Here is a 14,276-nt window from a genome sequence, read left to right on the forward strand (position 1 = left end):
CCCTCTGTTATGTCCCCATCCTCTCCCATACACACCTCTTATTGTGTAAAGCATTATACATCCAGTGAAATACTACACCTTATGGTCCTAGTTCTGTTATTATTCCTGTGCACCATCTCCTTTGATGTGACTCATTGCTGGTTACTTGCCTTCCATGCCCTATATGTAAAATGGGGGTAAGAATAGTACTTGCCTATCAGAGCTGTAGAGAGATGTAAATGGGAAATGCTTAGGACAATATCAGATACATTGTAAATGCCCAGAAAATGGTAGCTATTATTGTTTTTCCAACCCTTTTTCCCTAGGGAAAAGATAAAAAAGACTTAATCAGACATAGCTAAGGGAAAGCATTCTGTTTTAGCTCTTTTGGCCTTCTTTTGTAATCCTAGTCCAGTGCCCACAAGGCTCAATAAATATTTGTAGAAAGTTGAATAGATGAATCGTAGGTCAGTGTTTTTCCCCAATCTGCTTCTGCATCTCATGATGGTCTATGTTATACGGGTTGTTTCTCTGTATCAAAGCCTTTTATACTTCTGTAGTTTCAAAGAATTCTCAGTCTCTCCATCTGCAATTGCTTACGGTCTTCATATTGTCAAGTACGGACTTTTTCTGAACTATGTTTTCAAGGGAATCTTGTTTTCCTCTCATATTCTCAGAAAAATGCCAACAGACAATTGCCTGCAGAATGACAAATGGCTCACATGGCTTGTTGCTCCGCTTTGTTGCTTGGATCTGAGTGCCCTGTGATCTGAGGTTTATGTCTCTTGGCTGCCTCCATGTCTCACTGTGGTTTTATATCCCCTGGCTTTTTGGCAGAAACAAAACTTTTAGATTTGTCCTCAACTGAAAATGTTTCAGCTGTGTGTGCAGGCGTCTTCATGCTATAGAAGAAGGAATGGAACTGTGAATGGTGGGAAAGGCTGAAGGAAGTAATGGAGACCACGATGCAGAAGTAGGTGCTCTTGCAAAGCAGTCCCGGGACAGATAAAGGAAGCAAAGGCAGAGAACCCCAACGCCTTGTAAGTAAGTTCTTTTGTCTTGGCGGAGTTCTAACCTGGAGTTGTCTGGGATAGGACTGGGATGCTAGAAGCCAGGTTAGGTGAATATCCCCGTGGGCAAGTGAGGATCACCTGCAGCTCTTTTTGTCTTAGGTGGTTGTGTCAAGTGCCTTTCAAGTGCCTCTTCACCACCCAGAGCTATTCTTTGCTGTCTCTCTGCTGTGCTCTGCTCTCTTCCCAGGAGGCTGACTCTGATCGATTGCATGAGCAGGTTCCTGTGCCCTTTAGCTTCAGCTAGGTGGGTCCAGTCAACAGGGACCCTTGGCAGGAGATCAGAGGTTTGGAGGGAGGAGGGTATGCTCAGGGTATCTATTCCTCTGAAGGAATTGCCTCAGGCTGGCTGTGCCTTTCAGTGGCAGGTAAATGTTCCCCTCAAGGTGGCTCCTTTTATGAAATTCTCTCCTTCCAGTTCTGGTATCTGTTCTCTCTCCTCGTCATTTTGAGCCTAGAAAAGATAACGACCACATTGTTACTAATCCCGGGGTACTGCACTGTCCCTGAAAGCTTCCCTATAACCTGCCCCCACCTTTGCAAATGGTTCTTTTATTAAGTCCTGTTCATGTGATCCCAGTATGAGTTTGTCTATGCTTCATGCAAGGACCCTGGCTGTTACAGTCTCAAGTTGCTCTGCCTCTGTAGGAAAACAGTGGTATCTGAGAGGTAAGAGTCAAAAAGATAAAAATAGCATGGCTGGATATGAAAGAGGTGGTTTCAGTTGCAAGCAATAGGAAACAGTCCCAGCTCACTTAAGTGGAAAAGGAATTCATTGGTGGGATATTGGGTATGGCTCATAGAATTGGGAAGGCTGAGGACCAGGCAGGAAGCTGGGCAGCAGGGACCACAGGGACATTCTGGTTAGGATGATGCTGCTGGTTACTGCTGCTGTGAATGCATTCTCAATTGTAAATGCATCTTTGCTTCACTTCCTTAGGGTTCAGCATCCCAGGTAGGAGCATCTGCTTGGCCAATGCTGGGTCACATACAGGATCCTAGTTGCAGGAAGGGGAGAAGTTAAAGCTTCTCTCTTCCATCTGCGTTGGCTTCTTTCCTTCCTCCCCTCCCCATCCCACCAATAGTTACTTCTGGTTTCTCCAGGGCTGGGATTGAGAAGAGAGGAGACGTATGGTCAGGAAAGGTTGTACTTGGCGGGTACTGTCATGAGCTGGTGTTACTAGTCTCTGGGATTGGCAGCTGTTCAAAGCTGAGTCTTAACTCTCCTTGACCGAATCTATCTTCCTTCTGTCTGGCCATCTGGTATTCTATCTCTTCTGTTGGGAATCCCATCCCAGCTGTTTCCTCCCAGTCATTCTTGGGAGAAATCCAAGATGACCCTGGTATGGCACCCCTCCAAGGGCTGCTCAAAACCTATATTTTTCCTTAGCCTTTGGAGAAGGCCAGAAAGCATTTAATTTTATCAATCTCATACAGTCTGGCTGCTTGTATTGGAGGCAGTCGGCTGGTGTAAAGGTTCAGGGTGGCTTTAGAGCCCACTCTAATAAACATTGAGAAGCTTTGCTCTCTGCACTCATCTACACAGAAGCTGGTTTGATTTTATAAAGACCACCCCAGAACTATCTATCCAAGCTCCCAGACATGAGCCAAGGTGGAGATAGCCCAGAAGGAGACATAGATGGTTCTCTTGGAACAGGGTTTCTCCCAGAAAGGATTTTCAGACAATATAGAGTTTCTATCAATTTCTACCCTTTCCTAGAAAAAGAATAAAGCCTTCTAATGATATTTAACACTTCTAAATTTCCACTTAGCCAAGAACAATGGTGCCCAGTCTGTCACAATTGACCGTGTTTTATTTGATTGTTATGTGAGCTTTCATTATGTTTCAAAGGCCTCATTTGCCATTTTAAATAAGCATTTATTGTTATTGTATATCAACCTATGAACTCAGGGCTCTTAGTTAATCTTGTCTTTTTATTTTTTTTATAAGACATCTGAGTAAATGTAAATAAGGGTAACTTCAGCAGTTTAGGGGTCTCGATAGGTCAAACTAGAACCACAGAGACTGGGACTTGGCTCTAGCCTGATATTAATAAGAAGGTCCTATCCCACATGATTTCCGCTTTCCCTGCCCCACTACCCCTGAGCTATGAAAGGTCAAGACACAGGCTTTTGAGAAAGGATGGAGGCCAAGGAGGACTTTACTAGGTAATTACTATTATCTCAAAGAAATAGAAAAGGTACCAATTGTCATTTCTTTATGATACTAAATTTTAGGAGAGATTTCTAAGATGTTCAAGGATGATGAATATATAAAATACTGGTTTTATTATACAAATGGATCTTGGGATAATATTAGTGTTGGAAGCTTTTGGGGTCTCTGCCTAATAGGAAGGATTTTTCTTTTTTTAATTTAGCCATTTGGGGGGTACGGATGATGCAGATATAAGAAGTCAAAGACATTCTTTGCATTTGAAGCAAAAGCATCTCAAATCGCTATTATCTTCACCATTACCATCGCCACCCATAATATCTTCATAAATCTTTATGCACATTCTTTATTACTTTCTTTAGATAAATTCTTCCAGGTAAAATGACTAGCTAAAAGCATATGAATTTTAAAACTTATTTTTAATGAAAAATTTTATATATTTTATAAAAGTAGAAAAAATAGTGTACAAAGATTTTAAAATCTTGTAACATGCATTGCTTAGCTGCCTTCTGGAAAGTACCATTAAGTTGCACCCTCATAAGTCTTGAGAATTCCCATATCCTGACATTGTGCACAGGACTGGACTTTAAGTGTTTTTGCTCAATTCACTGAATGAGAAATGGCATCACATTGTTGTTTTAATTTTCATTGGTTTGTTTAGTAGTAAGGGTAAACATTTTTCCATATATTTTTGGTCATTTGTTTCATGATTTCTTTATTTATATACTCTGTTCAATTTGCCACTGCCTATTCCTTTCTTACTAATTTGCAAGAGGTCTTTAAAATTTAAGAATATTAACCCTTTTTCTGGTAAGCACATTGCAGTTATTTCAATTATTTTCTCATTTGTCTTTTGCCTTCCAATTTTCTTCATTATGTTTCTTGACATATTGAAATATTATATATAATAATATGTTATATATATATTATATATATATATATTTTGAGACAGAGTTTCACTCTTGTCACCCAAGCTGGAGTGCAGTGGTGTGATCTCAGCTCACTGCAACCTCCGCCTCCCGGGTTCAAGTGATTCTCCTGCCTCAGCCTCCCGAGTAGCTGGGATTACAGGCACATGCCACCACGCCAGGCTAATTTTTTTTTTATTTTTAGGAGAGATGGGGTTTCACCATATTGGCTGGGCTGGTCATGAACTCCTGGCCTCAAGTGATCTGCCTGCCTCGGCCTCTCAAAGTGCTGGGATTACAGGTGTGAGCCACTTTGGCCAAAATATTACATTTTTATATAGCAAAATCAATCTAGTTTTTACTGGTGGTTTTCCTTACTTTGGTTACTTGCTTAGGACTCAAACATATACATTTCTCTCTCTCTCTCTCTCTGTGTGTGTGTGTGTGTGTATATATATATATATATATATATATACACACACAAACAAACACACATATGTGTATATATACACACACATATACACATATAGATGTTTTTAATTTACACATATAGATGTGTATATCTGTGTGTATATATACGTGTGTATATGTGTGTGTATATATAACATACATATATATGTGTTTATATACATAACATATAACACACACACGTGTGTGTGTGTGTGTGTTGTCCCTTGATATATGCAGGGGATTGGTGTCTGACCTTCCAGGATACCAAAATATGCAAAAGTCAGCCCTTTGTATTGATAAAAGAGAAACTTTAGTTGAATTAAATTTAAAGGAGTTTAATTGAGCAATGAATGATTTGTGAATCGGCAGACCCCAGAATCACAGCAGATTCACAGAGACTCCAGCGCAGCCACATGGTGGAAGAAAATTTATAAACCAAAAAAGGAAATGACGTACAGACATCGGCAGAGAGGTACAGAAACAGCTGGATTGGTTCCAGGTTGGCGTTTGCCTCATTTGAACACAGTTTGAACACTTAGTCCTCTGAGTGTTTGAAGCACGGCTGCTGGGATTTGCCAAGACTCAGTTATCGTTACAGGCGCATGCTCCTAAGTTAGGTTCTCAATCTTGTCTGACTATTAAGCTAGGCTACAGTTCATCCACAAGGACTCAAATAGAGAAGCACAGAGTCCTTCTCAGACCATATTCAGTTTGCTTCAACAGTATACCTGGGTTTCTCATCCCTGAAATACTGTATTTTCAATCCACATTTGGTTGAAAAGCATTCACGTATAAGTTGACCTGTGCAGTTCAAACTTGTGTTATTCAAAGGCCAACTGAAAAAAACTACATATTTAACACTTTAGTAGTTTCATTTCCTGTATTTAAAAATCTTTAATACGTCTGGGATTTTTTTGGGTATGTGAATAGTACAAGATAGTATTCTTGGGATTTTTCCTTTTCAAGTAGTTAAATAATTTGAACAATCCTTATTAATGTAGTCTTTTCCTATTGATTTAAAGTGCTGCCATTATTACATACTAAATATTTATGTCTAAGGCTTTTTATTGTGTTCATTGATCTGTCTAATCTTGTACAGTACCCAAGTGGTTTTATAATTGAAACTGTATATAAGGTTTTACTTTTTGACGATTTACCCTGTCTCTAATTCTTCCAGCCAATATTTCCTCTTTTTCTAAATTTTTGGCTTCTCTCAGATGTTTATTCCCTAAACTTCAGAGTTGTTCTTACAATTTTATCAACTGCTTTAAATTTATAATTGATTTGGCATAATTTATATTTTTATATATTTAAGTCTTGCCCTCAGGAGCATTTTGTCACTTTCTCTTCTATGGAGGGAAGGGGCCATATTCTATGGCCTCGGTAAGGTTTGGATGTGTTCTTCATAAAATGTTTACTTGTTGATAATTAAATTTATTCTTGGAGATTTTATATTGTTGTTACAGCTATGAATAGAATTTCCTCCACTTTTTTTTTTTTTTTTTTTTTTTTTTTTACAGATTATGGCATGTATATAGGAAGGTACTCATTTTTAATATGTATTTTGTAACCGCCAAATTTAATGAACTGTTTTATTAGTTCTAATACTTTAGAGTTGATACTTGTGTTTTCTAAGTAGAAACTGGCATCATTTACAATAACTATGATTCTGAATATTTTTCAACATTCTTTTTTTTTCATTTTTCTCTCTCTTCCTCTCTCCCTTTTCTTCCTCTCTCCTTTTCTTTCTCTTTTTCCTTATATTTCCAGCACTTCTAGGATGATGTTAAGGTAACAATGAGCATCCTAACTCGGAATAGAAATATCTCTTGCTTTTTAATTTAAATTACATATGATAATATTTCATTAGTTATTTTGCAACTCCCAGTAGTTGTGTATGTTCTATGGGAGTCTGCTCCCTTGGCTGTAGCTGATTGAGTCTTTTCAAGGATTTTTTGATTTGGAAGTAAGGGGACTAAAGAAGCCCCCTTTTGATTGTGGGAGCCATAGGACTAGAAGTCAGGAATTACAGCTCAGCTAGATCCTTGCCATGTGAAGGACAGAATGAATCTAATACAGAAAACTGCACCCAGTGGAGAGAGTGCAGATGGCATGAGTGTCTGGCTGCAGCTGCCCTTGACACGCAGCTCTGGGGAGGGGATCTCATTCCTATAGTTATTTGAGTTGCCCCATTATCCTTCTAATAAATTCCCAAGGTAAGTTTAAATTTGGTTTTTGGTACTTCTAATCCTGAGAATATAGGTCCTCTCTCTTTTAAAAAATATTTCTTACACAATTAATGGTTTGCTGGAGTCGTCCAATTTCTCAACTCTTCTTTAGGAATATATAAATTACCCAAATTTACTTTACTGAGGATTTCAAATTGATTAGCAGAGAATTATCCCTAATTCTTTCTTATGAGTAAAAATAAACTCACTACTTAATGTGAAAAAGCTCATATATGTTACCTAGTTTCTTTCTACGGTATTTTCTAGTATAAAACAATTATACTGTTAGAAGCACTGCATTTGAAAGATTATATTATGAAAAAATTGTTTCAATATGACAAAAGAAGGTTAGGAGTTAGACACTTTCAGATCTACAATAAATTATTTTTTCTACAGAAATATCAATAATAAAGGTTTATTTATTTTTATTTCTGCAGGTATATTTTGTCATTGCAAATGAAAAATGAAAAAATTGATTTATCAATACCAACAGAAACAAACTCAAATATCTCCTTACTTGTCCTTATATTCTCACATGCAGGAACCTCCTATTCTCCTTGAGTCAACTTTGAACTTAACCTTACACTTTTGCTTGCAGCACAATTTATAAAAGTCAACAGTAAAAAAGAACCATAGAATGTGAGGATAAATGAAAGTACACATTCCTATGATAATACTCGAGCACTCACAGCAGGCTGCTGGGTCTTCTTATTCTCATTCAGTAGCTTGTCTAATTTTGAACCATTGGTGGTCCCCATAATGTATATCAGTTAACTTTTACTGCATAACAAACCACTTCAGAATGTAGTTCCTTAAAAAATTCAACATGATTTTGTGGTTTGGTGACTGGGGCTGGGTTCAGCTGGGAGATTCTTCTGGTTTTGGCTGGGCAGTCAGCTGCCAGGCCAGCTCAGGGCTGGTTGAACAAGGAGTGGGCTCAACTCAGTGGCTTATCTCTACTTCACATGGTCTCTGATTTTCTAGAAGGCTAGCCTGGCTTTGCTCACATTATGATGGCAGGGTTCTAAGAGAGAGGGAGAGGAAGTAAGGTTTCTTGAGACCTAGGCTTGGAACTGTACAAGGTCATCTCTGCCATATTCTATTGGCCACAATTAAGCCAAAATAGACTCACTCTCTTCATGACAGGACTTAAAAAGTCACATTGCAAAGTGCATGGCTACAGTGAGGGGTGAGATTTTAATATCTGCCATATAATATGAATTGTGTTACTGTAGTTCACAATGCAAACTGTATCCCCAGTTAATCAACAGGTTACTTTCTGTTGATGGTGAAAAACTTACCAGAAGGATGTGTATATGTGTATGTGTTGTGTGTTTTTCAGTTTTCTGAATCATTACTTTTTGTTTGTATTTTTGTTAATTTATATGTGTCAAACATAGAGTAGGCATTTAATAGATACATGCTGAATAAATTATTGCATGGTTTGTCTAATATTTTATAGCTAAGATTTGAGTTTTAAGTTTAGCAAATATTTTATATTCCTTTTTGTTTAATAGTAAAACATGGAATTAAGTAAATTTGTCCCTGAGTAGAGATTTAGTCACATACCATAGGAAATTTTTTTAAAATTTATTTTTATTTTTAATTTTTGTCTTCATAGTTTGATGACTGATCACAAAGAGGCACTTTAGTATTTACTACCCAGGTGCAGAAGCAGATCATTGCTAGCCTTCCAAGAAATGGCCTTTATGCCTCTATTCGGTTGCTGCTCCTCTCTCCCCTCAAAGTAACTACTGTCTTAATTTTTATGTTAATTACTTCCTTGCTTTTCCTTTTGATTTTGCCAGCTACATATATGTACCTAAACACTACAGTTTAGTTTTGTTTGCTTTTTGAACTTTATAGAAATGGATTAATATAGTTTATTTTTGTCTTTCTGGCTTATTTGGTTTCACATTATCTTTGTGAGACTTATGACATAGTTCACTCATTTTAATTGCTGTTTATTTTATTATATGAATATACTGCAATTTATTTTTTATACTTTTACACACATATACCACCATTTATTTGTTCATTTGAGTACTAATGGGTTGTTTTGTTAATTGGTCTCTTCAGCTTTGGGATTAATGAGTTGATAATGAATAAATGGTGAAATGGGGTTGAATGGCTTGTTTTCAGTTTTTTATGATTATAAATAATGCTGTTACAAGCATTCTTTTATGTTTCTTGATGCATGTGAGCATGCATTACTAGGGGTGAAGTTACTGGGTAAGAGGCTTTGTGTGTGTTTAACTTCAGTGGTGTAGTACAAACTGTTTCAAAGTAGCTGTATCCATGTGCACTTTCACCAACATTGTAGGAGAGCTTCCACTGCATCCATCCTTGCCAACACTTTGGCATGGTCAGACTTTTTATTTCTAGCCATGCTGGTGGCTGTGTAGTGGCATCTTGTTGTTTGGATTTGTATATCTTTGATGACTAATAAGATAAATCATCTTTTTTTTTTTTTTTTTTTTTTTGAGATGGAGTCTCGCTTTGTCACCCAGGCTGGGATGCAGTGGCGCAATCTCGGCTCACTGCAACTTCCACCTCCCGGGTTCAAGCAATTCTCCTTCCTCAGCCTCCCGAGTAGCTGGGACTACAGGCATGTGTCATCACGCCCAACTAATTTTTGTATTTTTATAGAGACGGGGTTTCACTATGTTGGCCAGGCAGGTTTCAAACTCCTGACCTCATGATCCGCCCCCCTTGGCCTCCCAAAGTGCTGGGATTACAGGTGTGAGCCACTGCACTGGGTGAAGATCAATCATCTTTTTACATACTTTTTTTGACTGGGGGGAGATTAGGATTTTCTCTTTTGGAAAGTACCTAGTTAAGTCTCCTGCTCATTCTTCTATTGAGTTGACTGTCTTTTTTCTTATTAATTTATATAACTTCTTCTCTTGACTTTCCTTTTTGTAATCTTAATGGTATTTTTTGATGAGTACAATTCTTAATTATAATCAAGTCCAACTTATCACACTTTTTTTCTTATTTGGTTAGTAATTTCTATGTATGATTTAAGAAAACTTTCTCTACCTTGAGGCTCTCTGTTGCATTCTACTTTTCAGTTTCATTAGTTTTTGCTCTTAACTTTCTCATTTGCTTCCTTTTTTTTTTCGGGCTCAATTTGCTATTCCTTTTCTAAATTTTTAAGACTAAATGCTTTGTTTACTGATTTTCAGCTTGTATTTTCTTTCTAATATAAGCATGACTTTAGTTATGTCTCTCAAATTTTAATATGTTTTATTTTCATTATAAATCACATAAAAATATTTTCTCATTTCCTTAATCATTTGTTCTTTGACTGATGGGTTGTTTGAAGTGTATTTCAGTTTAAAAAATTCCCAAACAAATGGCAATTATTTTTGCTATTATTTGTTCCTGATTTCAAACTTAATTCTACTGTAGCCAGAGACCTTACTTTGCATGATGTAAATCCTTTGAAATTTGCTGACTCTTGCTTTTGTGCAGGATATGGTCAATTTTTGTAATTAATGTTCCATGTGTCCTTGTATTTAAGTCTTTGTCTCATGCTCTTCTGAGAGAACACAGGCTAAGATATGACAGTTGAATCTTCATTATGAAACCTAGACTTTATCAATATGTAACAATCTTTCTTGTCCTGTGTAATATGTTTTTGCTTTGAAGGTACTTTATCTGATATGAATGTTGTACTTATGCTTTTAAAATTTGCATTTATCTAATACACATTTGCCCTTTTCATATTTAACATAGAAAGATACTTCACTTGTGTCCTTGAAAACTGTATCGTTGGATTTTGTCCTTGACTTAATTTTGGAATTTTTTTCTTTTAATAGTGGAATTTTACATATTGGCATTTACTGTTAAAACTATTTGATATTATTTCCTTAGCTTTGTTTCATGTTTTAAACTTTTATGCCTCATTGTTTTTCTTTGCATTGTTTTAAACTAGAGAACTATATTTACTTCAAAAAATGCCATTTTGGAAGATATATTTTAATCAGAGTAGTGGGTTTATTTAAGATTTTCAAAAACATTCTGTAACTGTTGCTTTTTAAATTTTTATAACTAAACATGAAATTAATTTTTCAGTTTTTTCTCCTTAATATGCAGTGTGAGCATATTTTTATTCTCTTATCCTCAACCTCTTGGGTTTTATGAACACAATCTAGTGTCTTGCATTAGGTAATCTTTTCTTAAGAATAATTTTTGACATGTGCATTGTTTTATAAACAGATTTACAAGCATTACTTAGACGTATCACCTTTTTGGCTGATTGCAGAACTCACCATTGTCTTTTAATACCTTGATTTCCCCAAAGTTGAGTTGTTAACTATATCATGTCTTGACTATTTAGTGTTCAAGTGGTTTTTTAATTTCCAGAAGGATGCATGGTGGCACATTTTCAAAGTCTTTGTTGAAAATGGTTTTGTTTTTGCTTCTACACTAAAAAAGGCGAGTTTTCCGGGTCTAAAATTCTTAAGTGGCAAACTTTTCCAGACTGTGTCTAGATATTAATCTCTTCATTGATGCTTGAAATCAGATATCTGAAATGTAGATATCCTTATAATCTTATTACAGATCATTTCTCTAGTCTGGGAAAACATTCTCTTCTTTTTCTTCTTATTGCTTCTGTTCTGTTCTGGTATCTCTTGAAAATGAATAAGTTATCTTTATGTTGCATTTTGCCATTTTCTGTCCTCCATTTCTATTATCTTCTTTATCATAATGTTTGTCATTGTCTTTTTCTCCTTAATTCTGGGAAAGCTAGTATTTTTAAAAATCAGTATCACTGAATGTTTTATTCAGTATAATGTTTTATTCTTTTTTCTTCCATTATTTAAAAATTTGTTACTGCGTTTTACTTTTTCACTTTTCAGACTTTTAACGCTTTTTTGCCCAACTGTACCGAGAAAAAGCTATACTGCCTAAAATGAGCCAGGATTGAGGTATCTCTGAAAGTCTTTTCGGAGACTCATTTACTTTCTCCCCAGATGGATCACTCTCTGTTTGGAGAGAGAATTTCAAACTCTGTGCTTTCTGTATGGTCCTATCTCCTCAGTATCTATGAGGACTCTTGAAGTTTCTGGCATGTATTTATTTAGCAAATACTTATTGAATACCTATTATTTTCCAGGTATTCTTCTAGGTACTTGTGATCCATCAGTGAATGAACAGATAGATAAATACCCCTGTTTTTTTAAAAAAAATTATTTGCGATAGCGGTAAAATATATGTAACATAAAATTTACCATATTAACCACTCTTAAGCACACAGTTCAATAGTGTTAAGCACATTCACACTGGTAGGCATCCAATCTCCAAAATTCTTTTCATCTTTCAAAACTGAAACTCTGTACCCATTAAACAACAACTTAAGTATTTTCTCTTCTTCCCAGCCCCTGGAAACGACCACTTTACTTTTTACCTCTATGGATTAGACTACTCTGGGTACCTCATATGCATGAAATCATACAGAATTTGTCCTTTTGTGTCTGGCTTCACTGAGCATAATGTTTTCAAGGTTCATCCATGTTTTAGGATGTGTCAGAATTTCCTTCCTTTTTAAGGCTAACATTCTATTGTATGTATATGCCACATTTTGTTTATTCATTTATCAATAAACACATAAGTTGCTTCTATCTTCCAGCGATTGTGAATAATGTTGCTATGAACATGGGTGTACAAATATCTCTTAGAGACCCTGCTTTTATTTCTTTTGGGTACATACCCAGAAGTAAAATTGCTAGATCATATGGTAGTTCTATTTTTAATTTTTTGAGGAACCACCCTGTTGTTTTCCACAGTAGTTGTACCATTTTACACTTCTACTAACAACACATAGGGGTTCCAATTTGTTCGCATACTCACCAACATTTGTTGTTTTCCATTTTTTTAACAGCAGCCATCCTAATTACCCCTACTCTTATGGAACTCAGATTCTAACAGGAGTTAGAAGAGGAGAGAGATGACAAAAAACAAACGTAATATGCCATACGTTATGTAGTATTTTATAAGCTGATATAAACATAGAGCAGGAAAGGGGAGGATCAGGAATGGTGGTGGGAGGGGGTGAGATTGGTGCTAATTTAAACAGGTGATCAGGATAGCTCCACCAGTCCACTGACAAGATGATGAGCAAAGACTTGAAGGAGGTAAGGAAGCTGACCTCAAATGGAAAACCTTCTGGTGTCTAGCCTTGTTGGGGCTGTTTCTTCTGAGTTTGGATTTTACTGTTCATTTGGACAGGTCTCTGCGGGTGGGGAAGTTAGGTGGGGTATTGTTTACGTGTGCTTGAGAAACTCCCATGCCTGAGAGCCCTCATCTCTTCTTGGCAAACCTTCATAGCTGGCTCTGTAATGGGGCCATTGTCATGCTGGGCCCAGACACAGGGTGAGGAGGTGAACTAGGGTGAAAAGTGGCTTAGAGTCAGGTGGCTGGCAAGCTCTGGAGGCTGCTGATCAAGGTCAACCTGAGCTGGGATAAAGAGAACAGGGCTGATTGGGAGCATGTACAGGACACAGGTCAGGAACAGGCAGTAAATAAACATGAGGGGCACATGCAAAGCCTGAGCATAGGACAGGTTTCAAAGTTCCAGGCTAAGTCTGAGGCCCAATTTGGGAAATGGGGAGAGACTATGGGCAGCTTGGGGGATATCTGTGACTCATAGACTCATTAGACTATGAGATGGGGTTTGAGGGCTGGTGAGAGATCTTTGTATGACCGGAAGATCCAGGTGAGAGACTGGGTGACCAAGACAGTCAAAAACAGGGTGGAATTTGGATTCTGAGACGTTTGCCCCCAGCAGGGGGTGAAGGTGGATATATGGGATATGGGTGGCCAGCTGGCTGTAGTGGAAAGTGAGGCAGCAGAGGGGACACCCGCAGCAGTTCGCTCCTTGACACAAAAACTTCTCAGCCCTTCCTCAACTGTAACTTTTGTGGAAACTCTCATTGCCTCTCCCGGTGTGCTTCCTCCTGCACCTTTCTCTTGAGAACAGGCTCTGCCTCTTAACTACAGTGGTCCAGCCTGAGTATTCCATCCCCAGCCGCCATGATGACTTCATGGTAGAAATGGCCACAGTTGGAGAAATCAGAGTCTTTGTCCAGGAATTTTTTCTTTTTTCTTTTCTTTTTTTTTGTAAATGAATTGATACTGGTTATTTATTTGTTTGTGGTTTAGTCAGTTAAATTTTGCATTCTTTGCAATACAAACTCTTCAGGTATCAGTTCCTCACCATCTACCTCCCATATACCTCTCATCCTTCCACAAGCTTTTACCTATATAAAGGCCAAATATCTCCTCACAATATTAACAAAACTTTATATATATATATATATATTTTTTTTTTAAATTATACTTTAAGTTCTAGGGTACCATCATTCTCAGCAAACTATCGCAAGGACAAAAAACCAAACACCGCATGTTCTCACTCATAGGTGGGAACTGAACAATGAGAACACTTGGACACAGGAAGGGG

General features: G+C 37.2%; 1 long non-coding RNA gene across 2 annotated transcripts in view; it reads left to right on the plus strand.

The window, feature by feature from the left end:
• The first annotated feature begins 771 nt into the window (after positions 1-771).
• Positions 772-14,276, plus strand: part of LOC101927182 (uncharacterized) — a 204,657-nt gene continuing 191,152 nt past the window's right edge. The window contains exon 1 of one of the 2 annotated variants that reach the window (XR_001754611.2): positions 772-1,023. This is a non-coding gene — a long non-coding RNA (uncharacterized LOC101927182). The remainder of the gene's footprint in view (positions 1,024-14,276) is intronic. The other variant, XR_001754609.2, reaches the window with a different exon arrangement.

This window comes from Homo sapiens, chromosome 20, assembly GCF_000001405.40.
Source record: "Homo sapiens chromosome 20, GRCh38.p14 Primary Assembly".
NCBI classification, from domain to species: Eukaryota; Metazoa; Chordata; class Mammalia; order Primates; family Hominidae; genus Homo; species Homo sapiens.